The sequence below is a fragment of the Homo sapiens genome, chromosome 22 (genome assembly GCF_000001405.40).
Source record: "Homo sapiens chromosome 22, GRCh38.p14 Primary Assembly".
Lineage (NCBI taxonomy): Eukaryota > Metazoa > Chordata > Mammalia > Primates > Hominidae > Homo > Homo sapiens.
The window spans coordinates 49,804,895-49,820,606 of NC_000022.11; the positions used below are offsets into that span (position 1 = coordinate 49,804,895).

The following is a 15,712-nucleotide window of genomic DNA, read 5'->3' on the forward strand; positions in this document are numbered from 1 at the left end:
CTACAACATTTATCAGATTGAATATCCAAAAAGAAAACATGCTGAGCAAAGCCTTCAACAGTTTTCATTCTTTCTATGTGACCCCATCTGCACACAAGCTGACTTCAACCACATCTGTGTCAGCGGGCCCAAAACCTTAGACACTGTCCACTCAGACGCCATGGGAGAGGTGGGCACTGGTCCCCATGTCACCTCCAAGAAGAGAGACAGAGCTCAAGGTATAAGCCGCTAACAGGTGCTGTTTTACCGTGCTCACTAAAATGACATCAGTCATCTTCAAGTCTCCCAAGAAATGCAAAGTGCTGCCCTTGGGGGCACATGGAGCCACCAAGACCCTCGGCGCCTCTCATCCACCAAGGGAACCCAACGCCGCCTCTTCCGGCAGAACCTGGCTCAAGCGTGGAGCCTGCAGGAGAACACTCACCAGACCCAGAACTGACCGTGAGGTGCCTTCTCACAGGGAACCCGCCGGGGGAACTTTGCCAGAGTGACCCATCAGCAAGAGCTCCCGTGCAGATGTGGAACCCCTTTAGGCTAAAACAATCCTGCCCACCACTCCAAGGGCAGTCTGCATGCTCAGGACACCAAACGCCTGCCCACGAAGCACAGCCCTCCAAGGACAGCCAACGGAAGGAAGCCAGAGGCTGGAGAGGGCATCGGCAGGTGCACTGGGACGCTGGGCTCTGATCACAGCCCCACAGGGCTCCTCCTCTGCAGGCTGGGCTGGGCTGGACCTGGTCACCTCATGGCCTGCTGTTTTGGGAGCAGTCTGTTTTTACCACTTGGGACTGAGGCAAACCATGTGCAGTCAATAGCACAACACTTAACTCTTCTGGTTCAGTGAGTCTTTTTTTTTTTTTTTTTTGAGATGGAGTCTCACTCTATTGCCCAGGCTGGAGTGCAGTGACGCAATTTCAGCTCACTGCAACCTCCGCCTCCCGGGTTCAAGCGATTCTCCTGCCTCAGCCTCCCTAGTAGCTGGGACTACAGGCGCCCGTTGCCACACCCAGCTAATTTTTGTATTTTTAGCAGAGACAAGGTTTCACCGTGCTGGCCAGGCTGGTCTCAAAACTCCTGACCTCAGGTTTCTGTCCACCTCGGCGTCCCAAGTGCTGGGATGACAGGCATAAGCCACCGCTCCCGGCCCACACCCAGCTAATTTTTATGTTTTCAGTGAAGATGGGGTTTTGCTATGTTGGCCAGGCTGGTCTCGAACTCCTGGCCTCAGCCTCCCGAAGTACTGGGATTACAGACATGAGCCACCACACCCAGCCAGCCCTATCTCTTAAAAAAGAAAGAAAGAAAGATTCTGTTTGTTTTTATTTCTTCTGACCCATGAGATGTGAGAAAAAATTCTGACCTCATCACAACAAGCCACCATCTTCTCCAGAGTCAGGGCTTCTGGAAATGTCAACAGCCCACAAGTTGTGAGCAAAAAGGCTTTGATGAAAATGCTTTAAAAACTTAAGAGCCAGATGCAGAGGTGTGCGTCTGTGACCCCAACTACTTGGGAGGCTGAGGGAGCTCATGTGAGCAAGAGGCTGAAAACCCCAAAATTAGAGTGAGGAAGAGCATGGAAGAGCAGCTTCCCAGCTGAGGCGATGAGCACCCCCACTCAACTCGGACAGAAGAGTTAAGGGGAAACAGACCTCAGATAAGAAAACTAAGCAAAGACATACATATGACAACCACAGAAAGCAGTCCCTGAGGGCTGGGTGGACTGAGATGCCGGCAATACGGGCAAGATGAAGGAGGCCTGGGGGCAGCAGCCGCAATGCCCACCTCAGGGATGACTGCAGACAAGTCAGAACCCACACTAGGAGCCGGGCGCGGTAGCTCACGCCTATAATCCCAGCACTTTGGGAGGCCGAGGCGGGCGGATCACCTGAGGTCAGCAGTTCGTGACCAGCCTGGCCAACATGGTGAAACCCCGTCGCTACTAAAAATACAAAAATTAGCCGGGTGTGGTGGTGCGTGCCTACAATCCCAGCTACTCGGGAGGCTGAGGTGGGAGAATCGCTTGAGCCCGGGAAGCGGACGTTGCAATGAGCCAAGATCGCACCATTGCACTCCAGCCTGAGGAACAAGAGCGAGACTTTGTCTCAAAAAAAAAAAAAAAAGAACCCACACCAGGGAAAAGAACCCCGGAAATGAGGGAGGTCACCAGAGTTCCAACATCAAGTATTCCTTGGATTTTTGTTAAGCCCAGTCTACATGCTGACACATAAATACTTTACCATGGGACCCACTAAATGCACTAGGGAACGTATGGATAGGAAGACCAATATTGTTAAGATGTCAATACCACCGAAAGTGATCTACAGATCCAATGCAATTCCTATCAAAATACCAATGATGTCTTTTGCAGAAATAGGAAAATCCACCCTAAAATTCATATGGAAACTCAAGGAACACCCAACAGCCAAATCACCTTGAAAAAGCTGTAAAAGTCACGCTTCCTGACTTCAGAACTTACCACAAAGCTACGGTCATCAAAACAGTGCGGTGCTGACGAAAGGACACACATATAGACCATGGGAATAGCAGAGAACCCTGAAGCGAACCCTCCCGTATCCAGCAGAGACTGTTGACAAGGGTGCCAAGACCATTCAGAGGGGAAAAGACAGTCTTTTCAGCAGATGGCACCAGGACAAGTGGATATGGCCATGCAAAAGAATGTGAAGTTGGACCTTGCCTCATTTCACACACAAAAATTAACTCAAAATCGAAGACCTAGACATAAGACCTAAAACTATAAATCTCTTAAAACAGAAGGGAAAAGCTTCATGACACTGGATTTGGCAATGATTTCTTGAATAAGACACCAAAGGCACAGGAAACAAAAAGAAAAAATAAACTGGGCTTCATGAAAAATGTTAAAATGTGTGCATTAAAAGACACACAGCAGAGTGAATGGGAGGAAATATTTTCAAATCACGTATCTGAAATGGGATTAATATCCAGAAACTCCTAAAACTTGACAAAAAATAATCCAATTCAAAACTGGTTAAAATACTCAAATAGACAATTCTTCAAAAGTGCAAATGCTCAATAAACACAGAAATGCAAATCCAAACTATGATGTCACCTTCACACCTATTAGAATGGCTATCAAAAAATACTAACAAAAAACAAAAAAAAAATGTTGGTAAGGATGTGGAAACCCTGAACCCTTGCGCACCGCCGGCAAGAACGTAAAAAGGTGTAGCCGCTGTGGAAAACAGTGTTGTGGCTCCTCAAACACTTAAAGACAGAAATGCCGTGTGACCTGGCAATCCCACTTCCGGGTATACACCCAAAAGAACTGAAAACAGGCTCAGATACTTATCACCCATGTTCTTCACAGCATTATTCACGATGGCTAAAACATGGAAGCAACCCAAGAGCCCATGGAGGAAGGAATGGGTAAGCAAAAGCTTATCTCCACATACAGAGGGTTATTCAGCCTTAAAAGGCAAGGAAGTTCCAATGCATGCAATGACATGGAAAAGCCTTGAAAATGTGCTCAGTGCAATAAGCCAGACACAAAAAGACAAATACTGCCTGATTGCGCTTATGTGAGGGACTGAAGAGGAGTCAAATTCATGGAGACAGGGAGTAGAACGGTGAACGCCCGCAGCCAGGGAGGGAGGAATGGGGAGTTCCTGTTTAACTGGGACAGAGTTTCAGACTGGGAAGACAAAAAGGCTCTGAAGATAGATGGTGGTGATGGCTGCACAGCAACAGCAATATCAAAGTGCTTCATGCCCCTGAGCTATACACTTACAATGATTAAGATGGTACATTTTATGTTATGTGTACGTGACCACAGTAAAATACTGAAAAAACTTGAATACAGAGAGTTAAATGGAATGTGCACCTTCCAAATGAGTAGAGGAGGAAAAATGCCCCCGACTCCAAAACAGCAAAACCATCTGAGTCAATACATCAGAAGAAAAAGTGAGCCGGGCGCAGTGGCTTCCGCCTGTAATCCCAGCACTTTTGGAAGCCGAGGCAGGCAGATCATGAGGTCAGGAGTTCAAGACCAGCCTGGCCAACATGGTGAAACCCCATCTCTACTAAAAATACAAAAAAATTAGCCAGGCATGATGGCACACGCCCGTAATCCTAGCTATTCAGGAGACTGAGGCAGGAGAACTGCTTGAACCCGGGAGGAAGACATTACAGTGAGCCGAGATCACACCACTGCACTCCAGCCTGGGCAACATAGCAAGACTCAGTCTCAGAGGAAAAATAAAGAAAAAGGGAAAAAAAGGATCATGGAAACAAATCCAAAATAGATCAGTAATCCAACATAAGTCAACAGTCTAAAGTTGCTAATGAAGAGGTTGTCAATCTGGTTAAAAATTTAAAATTCCAGTTTTAGGCCAGGTGCAGTGGCTCACGCCTGTAATCCCAGCACTTTGGGAGGCCGAAGCAGGTGGATCATGAGGTCAGGAGTTCAAGACCAGCCTAGCCAAGATGGTGAAACCTCGTCTCTACTAAAAATACAAAAATTAGCCAGGCGTGGTGACAGGTGCCTGTAATCCCAGCTACTTGGAAGGCTTGAGGCAGGAGAATCGCTTGAACACGGGAGGCGGAGGTTGTAGTGAGCCGAGATCGCGCCACTGCACTCCAGCCTGGGTGACGGAATGAGACTTCGTCTCCAAAAAAAATATATATATATATATATATGTAATTCCAGTTTTAAAATACCACAGCAAGGCTGAAGCTGGACATAAGGAAAATGTTCAGGTGTACATTAAGGAGCAGAAAGTGGGTACTGCTGACCGATCAGCTGAACTGAGGCCAGAGAAACACCATGACTGGAGTGAAGAGGGCTATGAGGGCTACTGGACCATGATCGAAGGAAGTGACCAAATTCCAAATGCGTACACACTGCCTAACGGGACATCTTGAAAATATCAAATGCAAAACCTCCAGGAGCTACAATGAGAACTGTTAAACCTACAAGCCTAATGAAACCAATTCACGCAAAAATAAATTAAGGATATTAAAAATGTAAGCATGACTTATACATTTGACCCAACAAGCTCATAGAGAATATTGCATCAAAGAAAGAAAGAACACACATATTCACAAGCACAGATGGACTATTTATAAAAAATGTATAACCTATTGGGCCATAAAGTCTCAACAAGCATCAAAGAATGAATGCGTACCATGCAGGTCACGTCCTTTGCCCACAGCACAAGCAATGGATATCAAGAGTTTAAAAAATTAATTTGGTTAAAAAAGAAAGAAAGAGAAAGAAAGAAAGCGAGCGAGCAAGCAAGCAAGCCCCACATGCTTCTAGACTGCTATCAGGTAAAGGTAGAAATTATCATATATAGGAAAACAGTGGCCAGACGCGGTGACTCACACTTGTAATCCCAGCACTTTGGGATGCCAAGGCGAGAAAATTGCTTGAGCCCAGGAGTTTCAGAACAGCCTGGGCAACACAGTGAGACCCCAGCTCTTAAAATATATATATATGTGCACATATAAAAATAAATAAAACTCCTATTAAAAGACCCTTGGTTAGGCAAAGGCTTCTTACATGTGACACCAAAAGCACAAGCAACCGAAGAGAAAGCAGATAAACTGGACTCCATCCAACTTGTAAATGTTTGTGCTTCAAAGAACACTGAATAAAACAATAAGATGACCCACAGAATGAAGAGAAAGTATTTGCAAGTCATGTATCTAATAGGGAGTCTAGTACCCAGAACAGAGAACTCTTATGACAACAGTAAGAAGTCAGCTAACCAATGAAAACATGGCAAAGATCTGAACAGACATTTCTCCAAAGAAAATATGCAAATGGCCAGGCAACATCTTCAGCCACTGTGGAACTGCAAAGCAAAACCCCCGAGCGATCGCTGCCCCTGCACCATGGAATGGGTATCATCAAAAGGACAGCGCCTGAGAATATACAGGGGTACAGCTGCCTTGGAAAACAATCTGGCACTTCCTCAAAATACTAAACAGCATTACCACATGACCCAGCAACTCCACTCCTAGAATATACCCAAGAGAAATAAAAACACACTACCTAAAAACTGTTACACAAATGTTCAGAGCAGCATTGTTCATAATAGCTCCAAAGTAGGAAAAAAACAAACATCCATCAAAAGATGAACAGATTTTTTTAAACGTGGCCTATCCATACAATGAACATTACGCAGCCGTGAAAAGGAATGGCACACCGACCCAGGGGGCACGATGGATGGACCTTGGAAACATGCTCAGTGAAAGAACAAAAAAAACACATTTCATAAAAGAACAAAAAAACACATTTCTATGAAATGCCCACAACAGGCAAATACACGGAGACAGGATGCAGATGGGTGGCTGCCAGGGCTGGGGGAGGATGAGAAGGTGGGAAGTTGGGGTAATGGCTAAGAGGCACAGGGTTTCCTTTGGAGGTGATAAAAATTTCTAAAATTGGTGGTGGTGATAAATGCACAACTCTGTGAACTAAAATCCACTCAACTGTACACTTCACATGGGTAAATTTCATGGTGTGTGAATGACAAGAGTCCCCCCTTAACCAAGGGGGATGGTTCCAAGACCTCCAGCGGCTGCCTGAAACTTGGAACAGGACCGAGCGCCAGCCTGGATGTTGGTACCTGCTACTAAGCGGGTTAAGGTGCAGGCAGCTGCACGGCGTGGGTGCACTGGACAAAGGTTAGATTCACGCTCCCGGCAGGCAGGACACGACAGGGAGACTGTGATCACGCTGCTCAGAATGGTGCACAACTGAAAACTTATGAACTGCTTACTGCTGGAATTTCCCATTTAATACTTTCAGACTATGGCTGACCATGGGCAACTGACACCATGGAAAGCAAAACCACAGGTAAGGGGAGGGTACTAAGTGTCTCAGTGAAGCTGACAAAATTCCCCCACGGGCGGCAGAACAGGGATGGAATGGGACACACCGCACAGGCGAATTCAGCCGGCGGTGCTGAGTCTCCCAATTCCTAGGCTATGGGTGGGTTTGTGGGCATTGCTATTTACATTTATGGTCCACACATGATTTGGCATGTATCAAACATCATCAGTTTTTAAAATATACTAAGATCTATAGTATTAACATATCAAAAATTCCTCTCAAAAACAGAAAAATCACACAAAATTTAAAAATACGTTAAGATTAAACAGTATTTGAGAGGCAGAAATAAAAGAACATGGATAAAATCCTATGGCAAGGAGCACAGTCTGCTCCTTTTTTTTTTTTTTTTTTTGAGACAGTCTTGCTCTGTCACCCAGGCTGGAGTGCAATGGCGCGATCTCGGCTCACTGCAAGCTCCACCTCCTGGGTTCAAGTGGGAGACTGAGGCAGGAGTCATTCTTCACAGATACTGTCCACAAAGACGATCCAAAAGAATCTTACAACATGTTGTATCCATCTACAACACATAGCTAAAAACAAAAATGCTAATTTTAAGAAGTACTATATTAACAAGTGCCTAGAAATAAATCTAATAGACTTTTATGGAGAAAACCATCAGCTTCTATTATGACATTAAAGAAGTCCTAGAGAGAGCCAGGAGTCGTGGCACATGCCTATAATCCCAGCTACTCAGGAGGCTGAGGCATGAGACTCACTTGAACTCTGGAGGTGGAGGCTGCAGTGAACTGAGATCATGCCACTGAACTCCAGCCTGGGCGACAGAGCAAGACCTTGTCTCAAAAAAGTAAAAGTAGTCTTACATGGGCAGCAAACTGGGCCACCTCCATGTTTAAGTGAAATTAACAGTGTAATTAACGGTGTAAAGAGTCCAAGCTTCCTAAAGGAACACTAATGTCGGGAGGACTCTAACCAGAAGTCTGACAAGGTGAAGCAGGAACTTTAAAGCTACTGCCCACTGTACACAGACGAACCAAGGACCTCACACGCCAGGACCATTCTGGAGACAAGGTGCCGCCCATGTACACAGACGCACCAAGGACCTCACACGCCAGGACCGTTCTGGAGACAAGGTGCCGCCCACTGTACACGGACGCACCAAGGACCTCACACGCCAGGACCATTCTGGAGACAAGGGGTGCCCTCCCAACCGCAGACTGAGGCTCAGCACAAAGCTGCTGGGTGGCCCAAGGTCCAGGTCACAGCTGGCCTGAGACCAGGAGGCCAAGCAGGCTGGCTCACAACCCAGATGACTCACCAGGCCTGACCCAACCTCACACCAAACAGCAATTCCAGGAGGGCTCAAGACTCCTCGAGGTGGCCGGGCACCATGGCTCACCCCTATGATCCCAGCACTTTCGGAGGCTGATGTGAGTGGATCATTTGAGCTCAGGAGTTCAAGACCAACCTAGGCAACACAGTGAGACGCCATCTCTATTTTTTGTTTTTTTGAGATGGAGTCTCGCTCTGTCGCTAGGCTGGAGTGCAGTGGCATGATCTCAGCTCACTGCAACCTCTGCCTCCTGGCTTCAAGCGATTCTCCTGCCTCTCAGCCTCCCTAGTAGCTGGGACTACAGGTGCCCACCACCACGACCAGCTAATTTTTGTATTTTTAGTAGAGACGGGGTTTCACCATGTTGGCCAGGATGATCTCAATCTCTTGACCTCGTGATCCGCCCCCCTTGGCCTCTCAAAGTGCTGGGATTACAGGCGTGAGCCACCACACCCAGCCTTTTATTTTTATTAAAAAAATTTTTGGCCAGGAGCCATTAATGGCTCATGCCTATAATCCCAGCACTTTGAGAGGCCGAGGTGGGCGATCACTTGAGGTCAAGAGTTCGAGACCAGCCTGGCCAACACGGCGAAACCCCATCTCTACTAAAAATACAAAAATTAGCCAGGTGTGGTGGCAGGCGCCTGTAATGCCAGTTACTCGGGAAGCTGAGGCAGAATCGCTTGAGCCCAGGAGGCGGAGGCTGCAGTGAGCCAAGACTGTGCCATTGCACTCCAGCCTGGGTGACAGAGTGAGACTCCATTTAAAAAAAAAAAAAAAATTTGTAAAGACTCCTAGAGGAAATACAGGGAGCAGCTTTACGGCTGCAGAGTGGGGACGAGTTTCTTCAAGCAGACCCAGCATGCACATGCCACATGGGGAAAGGGTGATAAATTTGAGGAGTACGATGAAATGAACAAACTTCGGTTCATCAGACAATAGAAAATTCAGGCTGCTTTTCAGAACCTTTACACACTGACGGGTGCACGAACGGAATTCCATGGCCAGGACTCGCTTCAAAACAATGGAATGGAAGGAATGGGAGAGGGGAGGCTGGCCAGGTGCGTATAACTTCTAAAGTTGAGTGAAAGAACAGGGGGCTCTCTCCAAAGATTTCCAAACTAAAAAAGAATATTTTAAAGACATCACTAAAAATGAAAAGATACACTCACCCACGGGCACAAGCCCCCGACAAACAGTGCACAGGCAGGGCAGGAGCCCCCGGTGCAGGCCCAGAACCCTGGCATGACACACACGCAGACCCCATGCCAGGTGGTGCGAGGTGGAGGACGCCGTGCCCACATCCATCGCTCAGGAAACACATGAGACCAGCCGGCCAGAGCCCTGAATCTCACCTCAGGGGACTCCTGCACCAAGGCTGGGGCACCACAAAGCCTGCTGCCCATCGCCAGGGGACACCTGCTCTTTTCACATGCCTGACGTGCATGGGCAAGGGCCACATCTGGGATCCTCTCCGACGGGGCAGGGTGTGCAAAAGAGGACGCAGCCCCAGCAACAGGCAACTCTATGTAGAGCACCTGGGTAGTCCCTGCTCTCTTTATTTTTGTGAATATTTTGTAAATTTGAAGTTATTTCCACATAAAAAGGTAAAATCAAGCTCCCCACCAGCCCGAGCCCAGGAGGTGCTCTCAGGAAAGCCACCATCGCCTCCAGCAGGTAGCACCTAGGCTGGAGCAGAGGTGATTATGTGTGGCAGTAATCTGCCCCGCTGTCCCCAGTAGTAAAGAAAACTTCACATAAATTTTCAACCCCACTTCTACCAAAAGTAAGTAAATATGGTGAAAGTGAAGAGAGACAGAAATCAGCTACACTGTGGTGTCTCCCCTCTGCTGAGAACATCTTCTACATGCCTGGGGTGCTTCAGGGAAGAGAACCCGGCCTAGAGGAACGTTGCCCCACAAAGCTAGGGGTGGGAATGACATGGTTGGGTACCCAAGTCGCCGGGGGCAGGGCAGAGCTGTCTAAATGGCCAGATGACTGTGGTTCATGGCCCACGGCCCTGCTCTGCGAAATGCTACCTTTAGTTCAGTAAATGCCAGCATCTTTAGGAGAGTCTGAGTGCAGAGGAAGGTGCGGTGAGGCCAGTGAGAAACGCAGCCCATGCTCTGAGCACTCAGAGTTTTCCCCAGCACAATTTTTATTTGCTTCAGCTTTTTCAATTAAAACAAATCTAGGCCAGGCACAGTGGCTTATGCCTGTAATCCCAACACTTTGGGAGGCTAAGGCAGGCGGATTACCTTAGGTCAGTCAGGAGTTCGAGACCAGCCTGGCCAACGTGACGAAACCCCATCTCCACTAAAAACACAAAAATTAGTTGGGCGTGGTGACGTGCACCTGTAATTCCGGCTATTCGGGAGGCTGAGGCAGGAGAATCGCTTGAACCCAGGGGGCAGAGGTTGCAGTGAGCGTAGATCACGCCACTGCACTCCAGCCTGGGCGACACAGCAAGACTCCATCTCAAAAAGAAGAAAAAAAAAAAAACTGTTTCCAGATATAGTAATGTCCATTTCTGTAGAGGAGAATCCCTCCTGCCTGTCAGCCTGCACCAGGAAGGGCTCTGTTGTGAGCTGCCAGCTACAATCTGCACTAAAACCCAGAAAACCAACAAAGTCACAGGAGGGCAGGAATGAGTCAGTGTCTGAAACGGCATTCAGGTCTGTTCCTCATACAGGAGAGCAGGCGCTCCTGCAGGCTGCGTCCACCCAGGTGCCCTCCCGAGCTCCCAGGCACTGGCTGGACCTGCCCTGCAGCTCCTCCTTCCAATGTGTCGTCCTGGCGCTTCCTTCCCGAGTGCCCGCCACTCCAGACCCGATGCAGGTCAAGCACAGGGAGCTGCCACCTGTGGCCTCATGGCCCCTGCCATGCCTCCCAGTGCCACCCGCAGCAGCCAACTCATGCACCCACACTGCCCGGGAGGCACCCACACAGGGCCTCCCGGTGCCACCCGCAGCAGCCAACTCATGCACCCACACCGCCCGGGAGGTACCCACACAGGGCTCTCCCCACTGGGCACTGAGCCAGTGTCTCCTGCTTCAATCCATGCCAGATACAAACTTTTATAAAAAATTAACAGCCAGAAACATGGAGGAAAAAAAGACTTAAAAACACAAGCCAAAGGGGGCCGCGGCCGGTGGCTCTAATCCGTAACCCTAGCACTTTGGGAGGCTGAGGACCACTTGGGCCCAGGAGTTCAAGGATGCAGTGACCTAGGATTGCGCCACTTCACTCCTGCCTGGGCAACAGAGCAAGACCCCGCCTCAATTAAAAGAACAAAACAAAACCTCTGCAGGTACCCACTAGGTGACAGCTGGGATCCTCACAGGGCCTACCTAGTGGACTCAACGCCCCCAAGACAGAACAGCTTCCCCACCCTCTGAGGACGGCTGTGCAGGTCAACAGCCTGGGGCTGCAGCAAGTGCTCAAGGGAGACAACGCCTCCCGACAGTGACCCCAGAAAAAGTTCCAGAATAGTGACATCTTTATTCCAGAGTCAACATACTACCCTCCAGCATTAGACTACAGACTAAGGCTGGGGCTGGGCGAGGTGGCTCACACCTGTAATCTCAACACTTTGGGAGGCCTAGGCAGGAGGATTGCTTAAGCCCAGGAATTCAAGATCAGCCTGGACAACATAGTGAGACCCTGTCTCTATAAAATAGACTAGGGCCAGGTGGCCTCCAACACTGCAGGAAGTGAGTCCAGGTAGGAAAAAAGTGCCTTCCGAATTCTGGGGCCCAAGGTGCCTACCCTGCAGGGAATAGTAAACAGACACTCTCTGGACTGCGGGGGCCAAGGCCCGCCACCCAAGGCCCTTAGCAGCCGGCATATACCACCTGTGGGTGACCTTGTCTACACAGGACTTTGCTATCCATCCGCCAGGACCTGAGGGAAGAGAACTGCCGGACCCCATTCCTGCCCCTTCTGCCACCATTTCAGACACCCCACAGGGACTCATTTTGGGGGTTCCCAAATGAGTTCCCACTGACTTCCAGGAAATCCATAAGCTGCTCTATGACCCCAGCTTGGGTGACCATCTCTCCTTGCCACGCTGACCCTTTTCCCCTGACCTCACAGTGCCTCAAGCTCCAGGAATGGCTCAGAAGGGGTGCAGAGCCAGTGGTGATGGCACGGTGGGTCAAGGAGTCACCCCTGGAGGTGATGTGTCTGGCAGAGGCCTTGGGGAGCTCAAAAGGATGGCACTGGGGGTGCATGACTGTTCATGAAGCCAAAGAGAAATAAAAAGAGGCAGCAGAAGGAACTTTCTTCATGTGAGATAGTTCAAGTTCAGACTTCCTGCTAACAACATCTATTAGGACATGGGCTGGACCAACTCATCTTCCTATGGAATACCAAGACAGGAGATCCAGACAAACTCCATCATGTGCACCAAGCCCAAGCTCAAACAATCAGCTGGTGCAGCATGTCTGCTGAATGACTGTGCTGTGATGGGCTAGGACCAGCAGGCGGCCCAGGGGCCCTAGACTGCTCTGTTCACCTCCATCCAACCACATCGCTCTGCACACCAGGCACCATCTCTGTAGGCTCACCACTAACAAAGGGACCGGTACCATCTGAGGACTGCCTTTACCAACAAGACTAAAAGATTTCTTGGAAGAATATCAATTCCAGGGGTCAATGTTTCTCTTTCTCTAAACATGCCTCACATAGAGGATCTCCAGATGCAGCTGCGTCAAAGACAACCAAAATTCAAGAGACTGCTCTGGATAACCATGCAAAACCCCTTAGAGACAGGGTCTCACTCTGTCACCCAGGCTGGAATACAAAGGTGCGATCACAACTCACTGCAGCCTCGACCTCCTGGGCTCAAGCAATCCACCCACCTCAGCCTTCCAGTGTTAGGATTACTAGCCTGAGCCACCGCACCCAGTCAACTTTTCTAACAGCTCAAGTCACTCTAATTTAAATGCATGAGGAGAATATCTAGGTATTTAAAGTTCGCCACGTATTTTCACCTGAGTGATGCTTCCCTTCCTAAGGCTGACCAAGACCAGTTCATCCTTTTAAACTCAAAATAAAATGACACCAGTGAAGGCGGGAGGAGCACCCTATCAGGGTGAAGGCGGGAGGAAAACCTCATTCGAATGAAGGTAGGAGGAGCACCCATCACAAAGCCTTGCCTATCTGAGGTTCTTGTCCGTGAGGCTGAAGTCCAGGCTCTCGTAGTAGAGGAGCTCCTCCTAGAAGATCTGAAGCAGTCAAAGGAACCAAACCGACACAGGCCGTCTGCCTGCTGATCACAGTCTCTTTTAAGACACTTTCTACTTTGCATTCTGATGAACCTAGGAGTTTTGTTAAACAGATTATGCGTGTATTTATCCCTCATTTCATGCAATAACCAAAAAGAGTTATCAGGAAACCCTGTTTGTCTTTTCACCCCATGTATGAACTCTCATGTGAATGAGTCCTGCAGTAATCCATGTTAAGGGAGCCCTAATTTCAAACTGGTGCAAATGGAAAAGACTTTCCCTTTTCCTTTAAGACTAAAGACAAAATGTCCTCCTGGCCGGGCTCGGTGGCTCACGCCTCTAATCCTAGCACTTTGGGAGGCAGAGGCAGATGGATCACGAGGTCAGGAAATCAAGACCATCCTGGCTAACATGGTGAAACCCCGTCTCTACTAAAAATACAAAAAATTAGCAGGTGTGGTGGTGGGCGCCTGTGGTCCCAGCTACTCAGGAGGCTGAGGCAGGAGAATGGCGTGAACCCGGGAGGTGGAGCTTGTAGTGAGCCGAGATCGTGCCACTGCGCTCCAGCCTAGGTGACAGAGCAAGACTCCGTCTCAAAAAAAAAATGTCATTCTATACAGGTGCAACTCAATCCGTTAATAAAAACTGATGTATGCTGGAGAGAGGAAGTGAAAAGAAAAAATAGGGCTGGGTGCGGTGGTTCACGCCTGTAATCTCAGCACTCTGGGAGGCCAAGGCAGGCAGATCACCTGAAGTCACGAGTTTGAGACCATCCTGGACAACATGGTGAAACCCCATCTCTACAAAAAAAATACAAAAATTAGCCAGACACCGTGGCACACACCTGTAGTCCCAGCTACTCGGGAGGCTGAGGAACGAGGATCGCTTGAACCTGGGAGGTGGAGGCTGCAGTGAGCCGAGATTATGCCATTGCACTCCAGCCTGGGCAACAGAGCGAGGCTTCATCTCAGGAAAAAAAAGAAGAACAGAAAAGAAAAAATAACAATAAATCAATGTAAGGCCAGGCATGGTGGCTCACGCCTGTAATCTCAGCACTTTGGGAGGCCGAGGCAGGCAGATTGCTTGACCCCATCTCACCAAAAAATAAAAACATTAGCAGGGCATGGTGGCACATGCCTGTGGTCCCAGCTACTCAAGAGGCTGAGGTGGGGGAGTCGCTTGAGCCCAGGAGGTCGAGGCTGTAGTGAGCCATAACCATGCCACTGCACCCGTCTGAGCAGAAGAGCAGGACTCTGTTCAGGAGATTCTCCTGCCTCAGCCTCCTGAATAGCTGGGATTACAGGCGCGCACCACCACGCCTGGCTAATTTTTATATTTTTAGTACAGATGGGTTTTCACCATGTTAGCCAGGCTGGTCTCGAACTCCTGACCTCGTGATCTACCCACCTCGGCCTCCCAAAGTGCTGGCATTACAGGTGTGAGCCACACACCCAGCCCTGCCTGTTTTTCAAAGTGTTTATTTACCGCTGTTATTATTTAATCATAGTATATCAAACTTACAAAAAAACAGATTATAACCTTAAAACTATCTCTTTTAGCCTGGCGCAGTGGCTCACGCCTGTAATCCCAGCACTTTGGGAGTTCGAGGCGGGTGGATCACCTGAGGTCAGCAGTTCAAGACCAGCCTGGCCAACATGGTGAAACCCCGTCTCTACTAAAAATACAAAAATCGGCCGGGTGTGGTGGCAGGTGCCTGTAATCCTAGCTACTCAGGAGGCTGAGGCAGGAGAATCACTTGAACCCAGGAGGTGGAGGTTGCAGTGAGCCAAGATCACCGCACTGCACTGCAGCCTGGGCAACAAAGCAAGACTCCACCTCAAAAAAAAGGGGGGAAAAAAAAGAACTATCTTTTTTACTTGAAATTTTAATTTTTTAAACCACTAGAATTATAAAAGCAGTCCGTCCCTGAAGGCAGATTCTGTTCTGTCCACAGGGAATAAGGAAGATCCTCTTTCTCTAAAATCTCTAAAACGCTGCTCAGATGGGGTCTCATCTCCCTTCCAGCGTGACTGGCTGGCCTGAAGCATAACATCCTCAGATGCTCTAGGTGGGTCCTACACCGGAGCCATTGGTTAGTGCACACCATAACCAACTAGACTCAGCATCCCCGCCCACGGCTGCACATCAAGAAGCTTCACCATGGGCCAGGCACAGTGGCTCGTGCCTGTATTCCCAGCTGAGGCTGGGAGGAGGCTGAGGCGGGAAGATCGCTTGAGTCCAAGAGTTTGAGGCTACTGTAAGCCATGATCACGCCACTGCACTCCAACGTGGGCAACAGAACAAGACCCTGTCTCT

General features: G+C 48.9%; 1 protein-coding gene and 1 pseudogene across 33 annotated transcripts in view, besides 3 other annotated features; one reads left to right on the forward strand and one right to left on the reverse strand.

The window, feature by feature from the left end:
• Nucleotides 1–15,712, reverse strand: part of BRD1 (bromodomain containing 1) — a 54,596-nt gene that overhangs the window by 31,617 nt on the left and 7,267 nt on the right. For 17 of the 33 annotated variants that reach the window (NR_146335.2, XR_007067961.1, XR_007067962.1 and 14 more), the window contains one exon: nt 13,328–13,489. The exons of the other annotated variants lie outside the window; for them this stretch is intronic. Coding sequence is in view for 12 of the 17 variants with exons in the window: in XM_017028722.3 (XP_016884211.2) it covers nt 13,328–13,489 (162 nt within the window). In the remaining 5 variants the exon portion in view is untranslated. The remainder of the gene's footprint in view (nt 1–13,327; nt 13,490–15,712) is intronic. 33 annotated transcript variants of the gene reach the window in all.
• Nucleotides 639–1,139: an enhancer, noted in NCBI's record as "H3K4me1 hESC enhancer chr22:50199181-50199681 (GRCh37/hg19 assembly coordinates)". NCBI's record gives its function as "activates a minimal SCP1, AML or CMV promoter by ChIP-STARR-seq in primed H9 embryonic stem cells {active_cell/tissue: H9 hESC(primed)}" and the evidence as "EXISTENCE:reporter gene assay evidence [ECO:0000049][PMID:30033119]".
• Nucleotides 10,525–11,068: an enhancer, noted in NCBI's record as "H3K4me1 hESC enhancer chr22:50209067-50209610 (GRCh37/hg19 assembly coordinates)". NCBI's record gives its function as "activates a minimal SCP1, AML or CMV promoter by ChIP-STARR-seq in naive H9 embryonic stem cells {active_cell/tissue: H9 hESC(naive)}" and the evidence as "EXISTENCE:reporter gene assay evidence [ECO:0000049][PMID:30033119]".
• Nucleotides 11,069–11,611: an enhancer, noted in NCBI's record as "H3K4me1 hESC enhancer chr22:50209611-50210153 (GRCh37/hg19 assembly coordinates)". NCBI's record gives its function as "activates a minimal SCP1, AML or CMV promoter by ChIP-STARR-seq in naive H9 embryonic stem cells {active_cell/tissue: H9 hESC(naive)}" and the evidence as "EXISTENCE:reporter gene assay evidence [ECO:0000049][PMID:30033119]".
• Nucleotides 12,214–14,049, forward strand: LOC100420885 (suppressor of cytokine signaling 2 pseudogene; annotated as a pseudogene).